The 17,537-nt window shown below is 36.4% G+C and overlaps 2 long non-coding RNA genes across 2 annotated transcripts in view; both read left to right on the forward strand.

Moving 5' to 3' along the window:
* Positions 1-17,537, forward strand: part of LINC03000 (long intergenic non-protein coding RNA 3000) — a 765,030-nt gene that overhangs the window by 172,601 nt on the left and 574,892 nt on the right. The window lies entirely within an intron of this gene.
* LOC102546299 (uncharacterized) overlaps positions 974-17,537 on the forward strand; it is a 72,706-nt gene continuing 56,142 nt past the window's right edge. Inside the window, exons 1-2 of the long non-coding RNA NR_105065.1 lie at positions 974-1,163; positions 17,369-17,436. This is a non-coding gene — a long non-coding RNA (uncharacterized LOC102546299). The remainder of the gene's footprint in view (positions 1,164-17,368; positions 17,437-17,537) is intronic.

The raw sequence follows: 17,537 nt of genomic DNA on the forward strand, positions 1-17,537 counted from the left end.
ACCGCACTCTGTCTCATTTTCACCATTTGGGATGAGAGACGTTACTGGTTTCTAATAAGTAGAGGCCAGAAATTGTGCTTAATATCTTACAATACCCAGGACAATCCCTACCCTGAAAGAATTATCCAGCCCAAAATGTCAATAGTTCCAAGTTGGGCAAACTCTGCTCTAAGGTTTTTGTGAGGATTAATTCACATAGTGCTCTAAAGGTTTAGCAGAATACTGGGCTCAATAAATCTTAACTGTTAATAAGACTGATTTCTATTGACTGGTAGAAAATATACCTTTATGCAAATTTCGAGTGAACACAAACATGTATAAAAATAAATGAACTCTCTATTTTTGGGGCTAGAAGCTTATTGAAGCATTTCTTTAGATTAAATAATAAAATTAATACCTAGTCATGTATGTATTGACATCTAGAATCCATATGCTCTTTGTGAGCCTTGAAAGGTTTTGAATGATACTTGACTATTCTGTCATTGCCATGGTAAATGTTTTATCTTGTTGTTAATATCTGACTTATTTAAAATTCATGTGGGAAATTTGAAAGTTCTATTTCCTATCTTGAAAATCAATGACAACTTAATCAATGCTGCTAAAACAAGCCCCAGTTCTTATGTAGTAGAAAAGTAAATAAGATGGAGAATTAAAAGTGACAGAATCTTCACATCAAGGACAGAGAGCATATTTCTATCTCGTTCTTCTATGTCTGCAGCCTGAAATATTCCATCTGCTTGCCTCTTTCCTCAGGGAATTGAAGCACCTTGAAAAGGATAAGAAAACTTCAACATTACAACGATGTTTCATATCATTAGGCTCAAATTAAGTAAATAACAGAATCCTAAGCTGATGACACATCCTGGGTTTGCACTAATCATAATTTGCAATCTCCATCATTGTCATCAGAACCTTTTTGCCTAGCAACATTCCTGCTGCTGCTTCTGTTCCGACCCTCTGGGTGCAACTGAAGGAGGAGGCAGTCAAAAGGAAAAACACAAATATCTCCAAGATGGCACTTACAAAAAGCAACAACAATGACAAAGTATAAATACAAACACACACCTTGAAGTTTATGTTCTTACTCAAATGCAAGCATCAACAATGGCCTACTGTCAGCAAGTTAAATGGCTGGGGCTGTTTCAGTCTCCCATTACATGAAGGTATGCAAGCTCATGCTAATACGTATCAGTTGGTACCAAATGAGTGAGTGAGTCAGGAGTGATGAATGAAGTGTGAGGGAAATTGCACTGTTCCTGTACCATCTAAAAGGGTAATGGATATTCAATTCTGCTTGTTTTTGGTCACTGCATATGAGTGCAGAGTGGTTAAGTCTTCCAATTTTTTTCTAAGACAGAAATCTGGAAAGGTTGACATAATTCCATCAAGGAATGAGATTGAAATAAATATATAAACAATTAAAAAGTAGTGTAAAATAGTACAACCACTCTGGAAAATTGGCATTTTCTAATGAAGTTAAATGTACACCTACCATAGGACAATTCTACTTCTAGATATTTACCTTAGATAAATGGAAACATATGTCTATGAAAATGATTTATATAAAATGTCACAGCAGCTGTTTTATCATAATAGCCCCAAACTGGAAACAACTACCACTTCTCTTCCAGCCATTATTCAGATGGCATGCTTCCCCACGCTTTGATTACTCTCCTTTGAATATTTTTCCATTTGTCTGCCTTCCATTCATAATGTAAGATTTTCAGTGTTGTTAGACAGTACAGAGCACAGTGAAGCTGGTCTCTGCTTTATATTACTTTCCATATTTTCACAGATGTAGTCAAAGAAAATGCTAGGTATTTTGTTACATGTTTTCATTGATTTATGTTTTTTAATAGATTCCTATTGAACATAGTTACTTAAATGGTTCAAACACTTACATATCTGCCTCTAATTATCTGCCTTTTTTATTCTATTCCTGTATAAAAACATTACTTGTTCTCTTACACTTTTGCTCAAACGGCATATTGCGATTCATTTTAATCTTGTTTGATTTGATTTACCCATTTCTGTAAGCTATTTAACTTTATTGAAATGCTCTCTGGTTGTGAGAGGCAATTTTATTTGGGACACCAGCATTGTAACTATCTCCATCCTGATGGGCATATACTATATGCTAGGTGCATTTATGTTAGTTATCCCACATCATCCATACAATGGGTAGATGGCCTTTTCCAAATTATAGTTTTATAGATGAGGAAGTTGAGGTTTAGAATAGTTTAAATCACTTGACTAAAGCTACACATCTGATAAATGGCGAAGCCAGAACTCTCTTCCAAGTGTAACAATTTCAAAATCCATATGCCTAATCATTATGATTTTATTTATCTGTAATTTGAAAATAGTCTCTTCTGATCATTCTAGCCATTGCTAAAATTTATAGTAAGACTTGGGTCAAAGTTCTAATGCTTTAAGAACACAATTCTTGAGTAACACACACACTTCTCACTTAGCTCAAGTAAGATAACAACCCACTAAATTTACAAAAACACATTTCACCCACCCTGTTTCTAAAACCTAGTCCAAAAGGATATAATTAAAGGCTTGAATGAACACACCTGGACTTCAGCATAATGATCATGTTTATTCATAGTTTCCAGTCTTGTTCTAGTCAACTCATATGTGTTTAGCCTAAGACATTTCTCTTGCCTGCACACACTGTCTTATTTCTGAAACCAGATTGCTTCTAAAAATTGATGTATATATTTAATGCAACAGCATTTCTAAGACTGATGTCCCATTGAGGAGCTAGGGTAACCTGTTGTGAATCTTTTGAATGCTAAAGGTTATGTTCCAGTCTATAGTTATCAATATTCGTCTTTCGAAAATGAGAGCTACCTTTTTCTTCTCAACTTTCTTGTGCCTCTCCTGTTGGTCCTTTATTCTCTTTGATTAATTCAATATCAAGTTTTCAATCTCATTGGTAAGTTTTCTCACTTTGGAACTTAGACAACCAAAGCCTGGCCACAAAGCCATTTATTCAGGGCAGAATGTTTCTCCCCAACCACTTTACCTGCATGGTGCTTCAACCACTTCTGTCAAGTGTTTGTTCCACTCTTGAGATGCTATGCTTTTGAAGGGATAAAAAACGTAGCTTGTTAACCTCAAGCACTTTTTTGTTTTCTTCTTGTAAATGTAAAAACCTTGAAAGATCTTTTGTTTGTCCTTGTGTCCTTATAAACATCAGGTCTTTGAATTTCAGCTTTCCTGAATTTATTTGTAACTCAAAACTTCTGTCTGTCTTTGTTCTTTATATGCATGCTTTAAAAAATCTAAGGTTAATATAGATTTCCTTATTCAACAATGTTTAAGAAAAATAAAACCTAGCATTTTAGAGTATTTATGAATTAGAAATTCTAACTGTCTTACAAACTTACCTAATATAAACCTTCTAAAAATTGTGAACAGTTACCTCCATTTGACAGATACTGAAATTGAGGCTCAGAGACTTTAATTTGCTCAAGTGACATAGCCATAAAAATGTAGAACTAATCCATTTAATTTTAAACCCCATGCTCTTAACTAACATTCTTGACAAAAGCCTCACCTTCTGTCAAGTCCTGTATCCTTTTCTTATCATCTTGCTTTCCATCATTCTTACCGTTGCCACAGAACAATGCCTACCTTTTCTCTCAACATTTAAAATTATTTCTAAAGATTTTAGAATTATATCTTCCTGGGCCAGGTGTGGTGGCTCATGCCTGTAATCCCAGGACTTTGGGAGGCCGAGGCGGGCGGGCCACGAGGTCAGGAGATGGAGACCATTCTGGCTAACACTGTGAAACCCCGTCTCTACTAAAAATACAAAAAAATTAGCTGGGCGTGGTGGCGGGCATCTGTAGTCCCAGCTTCTCAGAGGCTGAGGCAGGAGAATGGTGTGAACCCGGGAGGCAGAGCTTGCAGTGAGCCGAGATCAGGCCACTGCACTCCAGCCTGGGCGATAGAGCAAGACTCCGTTCCCCCCACCAACAACGCCCCCCCCCCCCAGCAAAAAAAAGAATTATATCTTCCTTATTTATCCAGGTCATATTTGTCATAAGGAACAATTCAATCTAGCAGAATGATACTTAATAAATATAGGAAAGTTTATGTAAAATGTAGGATTTACACATACTTTTACAATTCCTCTACTACATTGATCTGATTTATGTACTTTGGAATAAGTGAGACATATATTACAAAGAAATAGGATACAAGGTGGAATATTATAGTTTACATAAGAGATACATGTTCAAATAAGAGTTGGCAGGAGGGAAGCATGACTTCCCTCAGGGGAGTCATGGAGGAACCAGACTCTTCACTCTGTAGCACGTATCACAGTTTTCTACTAAAACCCGTTACCTTCTTCCCTGTGGTAATAGGATTTTGCTGGATACCTGGTTAGACTACATTTCCCAGGCTCCCTTGCCATTTTTGGGGGGCCCTGGGGGGACTATGTAACAGAGTTTTCTCCAAGGGAATGTAAATAAAAATGAAGTAGCCTCCAAGCTACTTTTTAAAAATCAAATGAGTCTCTTGAACATTCTCTTTTTCCTTCTACTGTCTGGATTTGAATTAGAAGGGCCTGGTAGTATAACAGAGCCAGGAGGTGGTAGGCACCAGGGTCCTTGAATCAATATGGATGAGGTTACCAGTAGACCAGAAACACCAGCCTGTATTATAAATGATCAAAAGATAACCTTCTATTATGGTAAACCACTGGTATTTGGAGAAAGGAGTCTGTAATGGCAGCTTCTCTTACTTTATAACATACTTTTCAAACATCTAACAAAATATATCTACCACCTTTCACAATTTTGCACCTGGAAGGGTTAGGGAAAAGTGTATCCTGGGGCCTCAGGGAAAAAAAAGAAAAAAGGAAAGAAAAAAATTACAAATGGCTTAACACAATAATTCTGTAGAAGATATAGTCAATGAAAGCACACATGAAGGAGTAATCAGTTCTGCCTAAGAGAGTGTTTAAAAGATTCACAGGGGGAGGAAACTTGAAGAATGAAGATATGTTTTCAAAGAAGTTGGAAAATAACATAGGAAGTGAGAACTGCATGAACAAAATTTAGGGATTAAAGAATGAACACTGGCCACTTCATGGGAAATTTAGTTTGGCCGAAACACTTGACACAAAAGAAATGAGAATAGACCCTGGAAGGGGCTCAAGGATGGAAAGTAAAACTAGGCCAGATCTTGAAGCCCTTTGGATACCTTGTGTAGTAGGCAGAATAATGACTTCCCTAAAGATGTAAGTATGATAGGCTACAAGGCAAAGGGAATTAGGGTTGCAGATGGAATTACAGTTGCTAATCAGCTGACCTGAAGACATTAAGATAGGGAGACGATTTTGGATTACTTCAGTGGGCTCAACGTAATCACAAGGGTCTTTAAAAGGGTTAGAGAAAGATGTGACTATGAAAAACCAGAGAGATAGCAACAGGACAGGAGTTGGCCTGATAGTGTTGGCTTTGAACACAGAGGAAGGGGCTACGAACCAAGGCAAGCAGGTGGCCACTAAAAACTGAAAAAGGCAAGGTAACGGGTTCCTCCCAGAGCTCCTGAAGATAATCCAACCCTACTAACATTTTGATCTTAGCTCAGTGAGATCCAAGTCAGGCTTTTGAGCTACAGAAAATACATTTGTATTCTTTAAGTCACTCAGTTTGTGGTTATTTATCGTAGCAGCAGTAGGAAACTAATACTTCTTGCTAAACCTGATCTTGGAGAACAGATGAATATTGGGATCAGAATTGCCCCCAAGAGGGTCCACCTGGGAGCAGTGTGCAAAATGGGTTAATTGGGCAGGACCAGAAAAAGAAAAATAGTCAGAGATCTATTTTTAACAGATTAGACCTCCAATAAGATGCTGGAAGGCAACTAATGCAGCAGAAGTAAGGAAGCCGAGAGAAAGAATATGCTTTGCAGTGAGAATAAGCTTGTTTTCCGAGTCTGTGCTATCCAGAAAGTTGGGGATTGGGCAGATGCAATGTATTGTTAAAGCAACGTATTCTGTGAACTTATGTAGATATAGGAGAATAATTCTAGTTTCTTGATACATTTCAAGATATTATTACAAATATTGAAAACAAAACCAAGGTTGCTTGCTCCTTTTCATATTTCTGAAGCATTTGTAAATCTTGATGCTTTTCCCCTCACATACTCTTTTATGCACAATGCAGATGTAGCCTTACCTGCAAATGCAGGCCTGTGTAAAAGTGACATCTTGTGTTGCTTTGATGCATTGCATTTCTTGTTCTCCCTGTCACGATTCCTCTGTTTTGGAAATTCTTTTACTTTTATTTTGCTAAAGAGCAAAGAGAGACTAAACTAAAATTATTGCAACATAAAGCGTATAACTCATGGTATTAAAAAATTACATTGTTCTCTATGTTATTTATAAATTATACAATAGTGACAGGTAAATCATTCCAATGACAGAATTTATATCTGCCCTTGTACTGGATTGTAAACCTGAGAGAGAAGAGTTTGATTTTTTTAAATTAAATTTAGTAGTTATTATGAAAATGCTTTAGAACAAAAGAAATCCACTGATTTGAAATGTCTAGAAACTAGCCTGTTTTCTATTTTCATGAAATGTTACTTTTCATGGCTGACGAGGTCCTTGTGGTTTCAGGTGTGAGAGTATATTATCCTATCTCTTACTATAAATTCACTTCACTGCTAAGTTTGAGGCTCAATGGCAATTTTATCAAAACTTGCCAATTCATTTTAGGCCACAGATAGAATACTCACACACTTGAGTAAATAAAAAAGTATGCAAAATTCTGGAAAAATAGCTATGTGATCAATAAAATTAATTATGAGGATGTCAATTGTTCCCTTCTTCCCCATGGTTAACAGGCTGGTATCAGAAATACTAGAGACAGAAAATCTTTCCAGCAGGTTAGTAAGGATTAAGGTGGTATGATGCAATCTAGAATAATGGGGAACAAAAAAGAATATATGGTTGAACACGAAAAAGAAAACTAAATGAAAGAAACAGCATGCCATATGATCACCACAGATAGAGAGAGAGAGAAGCCCAAAGCTTAAAGCTAAAAGAGAAAGGAAGGTCTGAAATCTCGAATAATAAAACTAGGAGACTGCTGGGAAGAAACACTCTGGAGAAGAAAGAAAAGGTGCCTAGATCAAAGATAGATGAGACAGAATCTTAAACGAAGAGGAATAAATGGTTGTCAAAGGCAGAGAAAAACCACAGAAGCTAGAAGCTGGCTGTTGGAGAACATGATTACAGATCCCACCCTTAGATGGGAATGAGACCGAAGGGTATGAGGGAAGGATATAGGTTCACTTGTACCATTAAACAGTAAATTGCAGCTGGTACAAACTCATCATTCACTCAAAGTTTACAGCCCCCCCAAAAATGAAGTGAAATAACAACTGTTAGATGTGGTGAAGACAAAGTGGTTTGTCAAATCAGACACCTGGGTTTGAAGCTTGGATTTCACTTTTTTTTTTTTTAAACTTTGCAAGTTCCCTAACTATTCATCTTGTTTACTCATCTGTAAAGTGAGGACAACTGCACCTTTTTCCTAAAGCTATTGTGAGGGAGAAGTGAGATAAGCAAACCTCCTTGGGCCTAGTTGCCAGTAATCAGTAGATACTAAAACTTCAATTAATAATTGGTTGGGAGATTGACTTTAGCTCTTTCTTGCCTAAGTAAATCATGATACACACACACACGTGATCAATAAGAGAAATAGATTTCTAAAACTGTTTTTGTATTACATGTGGAGATGGGGAAGACAATTACTCCCCTTTCTTGGTAAAAAAAAAAAAAAAGAATGAATCAAAGATAACAGAGAAGTTTGGGGCAGGCCACTTGTCAAAGGTAGAAGTTTTAATCTCTTTGCATATTGTTTCCCACATTAGCATATAGAAGTTGTGGTGGGAAGAATGTTATAGAGTTGATCTTTGAATAACGCAGGGGTTAGGGGTGCCGACCTCCATGCAGTTGAAAAATCTATGCATAACTTTTAACTCCTCCAAAATTTAACTATTAATAGCCTACTGAGAAAGCAAGAGAAAGGACAGTGGTATTAAGAAAATCAATATTATTTAAAAAGTCAGAATAGAAAATACATTTACTATTCACTAAGTGGAAGTGGATTATCATAAAGGCCTTCAACCTCATCTTCAACGTTGAGTAGGCTGAAAAGGAGGAGGAAGAGGAGGGGTTGGTCTTGAGGGGTTGGCCTTGCTGTCTCAGGAGTGGCAGCGGGTGAAGAAAACCTGTGTGCAGGTGGACCCACGAAGTTCAAATTTGTGTTGTTCAAGGGTCAGCTATACAGTTGGCTTTGTTTTATCCCCATAAGATCAAGGATAATTTACCTGGGGTAAAGTACGGTCTGTGGGCTGCCTGCAACGTTACCCCGCATGATGCCTGTTCAAACTGCAAAGTCCTGGAGTCATACCCAGACTTTCCAAAACACATCTCTAGGAGTGGAGCTCAGTGACGTAATGTTTGTAGCAAGATCCCTGGGTAATTCTGGAGTACCCTAAAGTTTGAGACACTTTGCTAAGAGAGCTTGCAGCACCTTCATGTTTACGTGGAAATTATCATCTTTTTTAGTGTGATTAACATACCAAATGTTTTCTAGTTGATGAAAAACAATCTTTAATTGCTCAGAAACTTTCCCAAATTATTCAATTGATGGCATCTTCCTTTTCCTGAGCATTATTTTGAGGTTCAGTTAGCAATTTTAAGTTTATCAAGCTGCATTCATTGACTTTCTGAAACATGTAATATTTTAGGAGGAGTAGGTTTCAATGGTGATTGGGTGGTATTTTTTTAAAACAGGGAAGTTGGGTTGACCTTGTGCCAGTTGACGATGTATCTCCTAGTGATTCTGATAACTGTACTGCCTCTGTCCTGGCTGAGAACATTGTTTTCAGCAGCCCTTACATCCTATAGCAGCAAACTGGATTTGGGTTCCTGGCACGTTTCCTCAACTCATGCAACTATGTAAGTTGGTAGAGGAGGATCTACTTCAGCACAGTCCAAATACCTGTTTAATGTGGCTTACTATGGCACTTCCTATTGGAAATAATGCAACTACTACAGAGCACAGGGCATCCAGGGTGAGTCTATAGAACAGTGGCAAGGCCTACGTGAATGAATTGGGTAAACTGTAATGTGGAAACACAGTCAACAGTAGGAGAATCCGGATAGAGGATCTGTGAAAACTTTATGCAGCATTCAGAAAACTAAAGAGAAGTAAGAAAATAAAATAGAGTTTGTTTTACCAGCTTCAATTTTACAGGCTGCATTAAGATCAATTCAAATAAGTTGGTTAAATGGAAGGAACTAAACATCTACCATGTCTGTAAAATCTCCTACCCATCTCTTAAGCATTTTACTTAATTGTTTCTAATCATTCTAATATCTTTACTCACCACACCCGGCCCAAACAGAGATGATCATTTATTTCTTCAACCCATCACTGTGACTTGTAAATGCCTCCAGTATAACATCTGCTGTGTTATTCTACAACCATGTCTTTAAGTGTTTCTTTAATGCCCTGGAAAACGATGACCTACTTAAGACAGAGGCTATGTCTCCTATAGCTTTATACCCCCAGTACTTAGCACAGAGCCTGGCACATGATAGGAGACAAATATATATGTGTTTAATAACTGAAGTTATGGTAAGGGATTGAATATGTTTTTCCAGTCTTTAAGAAGGACCATTTTAGTAAGAAGGTAAAGGCAAGCATACAAATTACTATGTTGTAAGGTAGAGCAAGGTTAGAGTCATCAGAGATTTCATCTAATTAAGGGGATTTCAAAAGGCTTCGCAGAAAAGATGGTGCTCAAGATGGGACTTAAGGAATTAATAGGTTTTCAACAAATGGAGTGTGTTTGGAGGAAAGTAGCTATTTCAGATAAATGAAACAGCACGAACAAAGATAGGGGCAAAATCTCAGGGAATATTGAGTGAACAAAGCGAAGACCATCCTGAATAGAATTTATTGTAAGAATGGCAATTAGATTTTATCTCATAGGCCATATATGACAACTGGTAGAAGCTGCCTGTATTGAAGATCATTCCTGGGCCCAGTCTGAGTTCAGCATGCAAGAATGTCATAATCAAAAAAATTGTGGCAATGGATGCAGGAGAATACTATCTTTGATTTAAGGCCCTCAGAACCCACCATTTCTATGTAAATGGAAGAATCCTAATGTTTTTCCAAACATTTATTTTGGCAGATACTACATTGACTATGTGCCAAACTCCAAACTAGATGCTGAACAAATATAACAGTAGCAAAGGCAATGATGACACCTAAAAAGATTAAGCTTCCGTAGGAAATACAGTCATTAAATATTTTCACAAATAATTGTATAATTACAATTGTGATGATCATCATGAAGATCAATTATCAGGTGCTATGTCTTTGCAAGGGAGACTGTCCTGATAAAAGGGCCCAAGAAAACTGCCCTGGCAAAGTGATCTGTAAGCTGCTACTGGAAAGATCCCTCTCCCTAGGTGAGATAGAGGGAAATCAATGCTCCTTGATATCTGTTGGATGTTTCAAGTTTTGGGAGTCTCACATTTTTCCTTATTAATATAGCATTCTCACAACTAGTTAAAACATCTTAGAGAAGTGAACAAAAGAGGAGTATATTTTCTTAAATTAGTAGTTCTCATACTGTGGGCCCTGGACCAGCAACATCATCCTCACCTGGAAAATTGTTAGGAATGTATATTCTTGGATCTCACATCACACCTACTGAATCAGAAGTTCTAGTGGTGGAACCTAGCAAGATGTGTTTTAGCAGGCCCTCCTGGTGATTCTAATGCACACAAAGGTTTGATAACCACTGCCCTGAACTAAAATGCACACTTTCAAACAGAAGGAGGTTTTCAGGAAAGGGAGAAGTTTCTTTTAAAGAGTTTCTTTCTCAGTAACAAAAAAAAAATTCGAGATATAAATGAAATTCCTTACTGAACACTTAGAAGGCACAAAGAGTTTGCTATCAAGACATTTAGATATTTAGATTTTCTAAGAAGGGACATAACAATTCGTTTGTGTCTGGTGATCCATTTACTTCTTGTAGGATCCTAGGAAATATGAATGGTGTTTAGGAAAAATTGATCGGGACTGCTGTCTGTAAGATGAAACAGGCTTTTTCCAAGCTGTAGTATGTTTGTGTGTGCTCGCTTTCACAAAAGTCTCAATGTGGATTAAAGAACAAACATATTTGTAGAACTTCTGTCACAGTGAAACAGAATGAATCACCACAGTGCCCTGGACTGAGCCTCCAAAATGCTTTGGTCAAATGGCAAACTAAGACAAAAAATAATTACAAGTATCTTACAATTTACAATTATAAATAGAGGAGACAGTGAAAACTCCTGAAAATATCTTTCCAGCTTGGAAAGCTGTACTTTAGGAAATCTGTACTTTAGGAATGTAGAAAGAGACAGAGATTTCTGTTTTTACTATGGTACATTGGTCCAATCGAAGGTGCAATTTATGAGTAGAAAACTCTGATGTCTAGAAAATCTGTGAGAGTTGCAATTATTAAAGACATCATGTTACTCATGGATTATCAATGTCATCTAAACCCTTGCTACTCAAAGTAGCATCAGCATCACCAGGAAGCTTGTTAAAAATGTAGAATCTCAGACCCCACCTCACATCCACTAAATCACAATCTGTGGATTACCATGATCTGCCAGTGTATTAGTTCACTCTCAGGCTGCCAATAAAGACATACCTAAGACTGGGTAATTTATAAAAGACAGAGGTTTAATGGACTCACAGTTATACATGGCTGGAGAGGTCTCACAATCATGGTGGAAGATGAAGAAAGAGCAAGGGACGTCTTACGTGATGGCAGGCAGGAGAGAGCGTGTGCAGGGGAACTCCCCTTTATAAAACCATCAGATCTCATGAGATTTATTCACTATCACAAGAACAGCACAGGAAAGACCTGCCCCCATGATTCAATTACTTCCCACCTGGTCCCTCCCACAACAGATGAGAATTATGGGAGCTACAATTCAAGATGAGATTTGGGTGGGGACACAGCAAAAACATTATTCAGATGCCCGTTAAAGTTTGAGAAGTACTGATGAACTTACATCATCCAAGTTTCAGAAGTACTGACAGACTTACATCATTCTTGAGTTGACGCCAGATTTCCATCACCTATAGGAAAATTTTCCTGTTGGAAATTTTCCTGTATGGAAATCTGGCGTCAACTCAAGAATTTGTTACTGCATGCTAATCTAAAACTGGTTAATTGCAAATACTGGTAATAGAAGATATCCTGAGTTTCAACATAAAATAATGAAGAAAAATTTTAAAAAGCCAAATCAATATAAATAAAGGTATTTGAAAATTGTTTATTGAGGAAGAGTAAGTGAAAACCAATTGGTCTATAATATTGCAATAGCTCAGTGATAAGGTCTATTTTATATGACACTTCCCAAGAGATTCCATTAGAGCAGAAGTCAAAGAAAATCCCTTTTGCTAGAAAGAAAAGCCTTAGAGGAAGATAAAAGACAATTAATTATACCTGAAATCTGCACAATGAACTGAGAGCAATATACCATTGAAAACCAAAGGATTATTGCAGCCTATTAACAGTAAGAATGTCTACTGTACTAGAAAAAAAACCTTAATTTTTATAGTTTATGACTATGTTAATTCCCCAAGCAGATACCTGGTCGACATTTATGGTAACTCTGGAAAATTTTCCCTCTCTTTAAACACTGAAATTTGCATTTTCTAATGTCACATACATGGTAAAACATTGTCATGGAGGGAGTAAGTTATTCAGAAGTAGATTTACCCTACAATAATATCAACACTTTCATTTCCAAGCTCATTGATTTTTTTTTTTTTTTACCTTAATGAGTACCGGAATTAGTAGAGTACAAAAAGCCCTATATCGGTTGAAAATCTTCTCACAGCTCAATTTAATTTAATTTGAAAATAGCTGTTTTACTGTCTCTCAAACTAAATTTAAGAAATCAAACAGAGCATTAACATGTTAATTAATAAGAGGTTCAGTGGGAAGGTAGGAAATGATTAGTTGCATTACGATTCCTTCAGAATTTCTCTAGGAAACTCATTAAAGGGCTCTTCAGAAGTGCTTTCCTGAAAAGATGACAAACACATGGCATATGTTCTCCAGGAATCTCGAGGTGCATGTAAAGCCTGTGTCTGGCTTCTCTCCACAGTGTGGAGGCTCACAGCTGTGTTCAAAAGGGGACACTCACCACAGTGGCATTTAATGAGTGACACACAGCATGTCCTAGGTCAGACATATGCACCAATTTGAAAAGCAAGAAGTCAAACTCAATGTTTCCAATGCAAAGGGGAGCAATTTTCTTTGGGTTGGCCAAAGAAGACATGTTCTATGTTTTTCTTCTAGGAATCAGAGATGAGATGAAGAATTCTCTAATTAATCTACATTTTATAGCTCTTTACATTTAAATTTTTCATAAATATTAACTCATTTGATCTCAGCCACTCTGATAATTAGATATGGTGGGCATAATTCCCAGAGGAAGCAAAGTATTGTTAAACTCACATTAGGTGCCCTGTTCCAGGTGTTTAATAAGCTTCAGTTTCTGTCTCTGCCTCATTACCTTTCTTTCCACATCTAAGCAGACAACTTTCCAAAAAAGTATTTTAGATGCTTAAATGAATACATACAATTTCAGATAAAATATGATCTAGGTATCAGGATAAAAAGGTAGAGGTTATGAATCTAGTACTGATCATACAAAGTCTTATATTCTTGCTAGAGGAAAACCCCAAGGCTGGATCTCACCCTTGTGCCAGCCAGTGGAAGATAAAAACCAAATGTCCTTTTAGCAGTGGTTCTCCAAAGTATGGTTCCCAACCCATAGTATCAGCATCACTTTGGAACTTGTCAGAAATGCACATGTTGTGGCTCCACTCCAGACCTACTAAATTAGAAACTCTGGATGTGGGGACTCGTCCTCTCTGATTTAACAAGTCCTGCAGGTTATCTGATACCTGCTCAAATTTGAGAACTACTGTATTATGGAATTACCCATAAGAGAAAAGTTGAATAGTTGCTTATGAGAGGATTATCTTCATGAGATGGGGTCTTTTCTATTTTGTTCTCCTTTGCGTTTCTACCACAGAAACCATCATATAGCACACATGATATAATTTCTTGAATCAATACGCCATTCCTCAAAATATGTTCCGAAAGTTCTTTTAGAGTATGTACCGTTTAATGTAGCAAACAAATTTTTAATAATAAAGAGAGCAGCACAGTTCACAGGATTTTTATAATGATGAAAAATGTAGTCATGACTTAAACTAATTGCATGAATAGCTAGTACTACATAAGCTAGAACGGCTGTTCTCAAACTTAGCTATTCAGACCTGGCCTGATCATCAGAATTACCTGGAGTGGTCCCAATAATTCTGATACCTTCAGCAGGTCTAAAGTGGACCCAGAAATTGGAATTTTAAAATGATGCTCTCTAAATCCTTATATGGGCATGTATGTTTACAAACACATATGTGTATAAATGTAAATGCACTATGCTTTCAACATAAATGTAAAGGCAGTATGCTAACATTTATTTTGAGATAACTAAAATTTTTACACAATAAGTTTTAATATTACAAAGTCTTGTGTTGACTCTTCTATTTTCTATTTGTGTATAACAAGACAGCAAAAAACAATGAAAGAGAAAAGCAGAAATAGAATCTGGGAGTCCTTGAGAAGCAAGAAACTAGATTACTCTAGTTATTTCACCCAACATTTTCATAATTTGATTTATAAAATTTCTTCTTACATCTTAATACTATGTGTTTTGTGATTTTTTCTGTAAATTTAATAAAAAATAGTTTAATGTTCACAACTGTGTTACTTTATAGATTTAAACTTACTGTAATAATTCATTTTTAATAAAACACAGAATCCTCAATGTCTTTGTGTAGGGTAGTTTAGATAATCAATTTAGAATTAATTTTAGTGTACCTTTTTGTGTTCTTAAAAAGTCAATAATTGATATGTTCTTTTATTGTTCTTTGAACCATGCTTTAGACAATTTTTTCAATTTAATTATCTCTATCGGAGAGACACATATACAGTTATAAAGACTGGCAGAGTTTGATCATAAATATTTATGTCTCACTTTCACAACTATAGATCATACTAATAAAAGGACATGGCCTTTCTCAAAGTTTTGAGATTGAGCTAGACAAATGTCTGCAAGATAGAGATATAGTAAATTGATTACACACATCTTTGGTGTTATTTATTAGATTATGTAAATAAATTCCTTTAATTTTTAAGGACTTACATAGTACTTATTCTGTGCCATGCTCTTTCAAAAGAGATTAATCAGTCAATGTATTCCTCCTAATAGTGCCATAAAATAGATGCTGTTATTAATCCCACTTTATCGATGAGAAAACAAAGAAAATATGTTAGGAACATTGTTGTTGAGCAAATATCAAATCTTGATATTTTAAAAATATGTTGGTAAAGAAATTCTCAACAGATTACCTAAATGGTTAAAGAGATAAGAAATAGGGAGGAAGGAAGAAACCCCAAAGAAACTGGAGCAATTTTGCCTGGGAAAAATGTGATAATTATATAAAAAGGCATAGCACAGAATAAATAAGATCTGATGAATGGTTTAATGACCCATAATCACAGCATAATCCCACAGTTTGAGGGAAGATTTATAAAGATGACTTGGTTACAATCAACAATGTTAAAAGTTTCTTCTAGCTCCATGTTTTATGAATGGTTTACATGTAATAAACTAGATCAGCCCTTGTTGCGAAACACATTCTTTTCCACCTTCTTTGGGGATGCCATGACATCAACTGCAAAACATATCATGCAAATTTGGAATATAAACAAAATATTCCTTTTTGACAAATTTAATTTCTCATGTTTATGTAGGTAGGAAAGCCAGAAAGAGCTGACTTTTCTGCCATTATCTTCCACCACATGTTAGAAATCTTTGTCCATTTTGCCAAGGAAGTTTCAGCCATCTATCCTCTGAAAGTATGAAATTACTGAGTTCAAAGTGGAGAACAGTGTTCAAAGCAAACATCATGGTATCAACTATTTTCTACCTAATAACCTGGAACAAACTTGAAGCTTGAGGTTTACCTAGTTTGGAAGGTGTTTATCAATATCTTGAAGTTTTAAAATAAAATAATTCCCCACAAACTGACAAGCTTTCCATTTATAATGAGCCCAATAAGATAGGCTGCTTTTTCGTGTTTATCCAAACGGGCAATTTTTTGTGTAAAACTTTCACTTGCCACGAATGATCGGATTAAGGACAGGTTTAAAACCTGCTTTCTCCAGAAACTGTAGTTGGCTCAAAGAGAACAATTTGATGCTATCTTATCGGGAGGGAAACGTCAGAAATTAGGCCTAAGGGGAAAAGACAAGTGAGTATGTGGGCAAATAGAAGGCTTCCGAAAACCTGGCCTTGTATGACCTGTATTGGTAAATAGTGTGCCACACTCCAAAAAGGAGGACATGGGTGTCATCATTTTACACAGATGCAAAATTATGAACACCGATCAAGGGAAACTTTCAAGTATTAGATAGTAAATTAGTGCCTTTCACGTTTTGACCAAGCAGCACAACGTGATGCAGCTGATCACTCTCTCCTCCTTGAAACTCCTCCTTCACCTAACTTCCAAGGCATCACATGCTCCCAGACCTCACTGGCATTACCTTCTTCATCTCCTGGGCTGCTCACTCCTGATTCCCCCAACTTCTACAGGTTGGAGTTCCCCAGCCTTCAGTCTTCTCATCTTTCCTCTTATAAACCATGCTGGTTTCTTTAGCTTAAAACCAGTCACACTAATATTAAATGTATGCTAGTTTCTGCCTTTTGTTCTACCATGATTTCAGAAATGTATGTGAAACTTAGTTAACTTGCCTTATGTATTAGGAGACATGAAACCTTTAGTAGATAACACTTTAGACAATCAATTATAATTTCAAATAAGAATTTATTATCCAAATTATATATCAGACTCTGTGCTAGACACATAACATACATTATTTTATTTAACATCAGGGCAATCTTTTAGGTAGTGAATGTTGTCCCCATTTAACAGATGAGCAATGGTTCCAAGGTCATGTACCCAGGCATACAACAATAGCTGACATTTGAGTGCTTACTCTGTGCTCTCTGCTACCTTAGCTTCCTAACTTTCCCAATAATCCTATAAGGTAGCTAGTATGATTTTACAAGTGAGAAAACTGGTTTAGAAGGATGGCAAAACTAATAGGTAGAATATTTACAGTTTAATTTTTTAAACTCTAAAGTTACTATCTCTTTGTGTCAGCACAGAATCTTCTGGAGAGGAAAGAAGAAACCATGTCTAGACAAGGTGCTGGAAAGACCCAGGGAAGACACAGGTGAGCTAAGAAAGCAGTAGAAACTGGGTAATTAAAAGTCAACATAATGGCTGGAAACTTGTTCAAGGAGATATAAAAAGAAAGAAAAACCAAAAGAGAGA

This window comes from Homo sapiens, chromosome 5 (assembly GCF_000001405.40).
Source record: "Homo sapiens chromosome 5, GRCh38.p14 Primary Assembly".
NCBI lineage: Eukaryota > Metazoa > Chordata > Mammalia > Primates > Hominidae > Homo > Homo sapiens.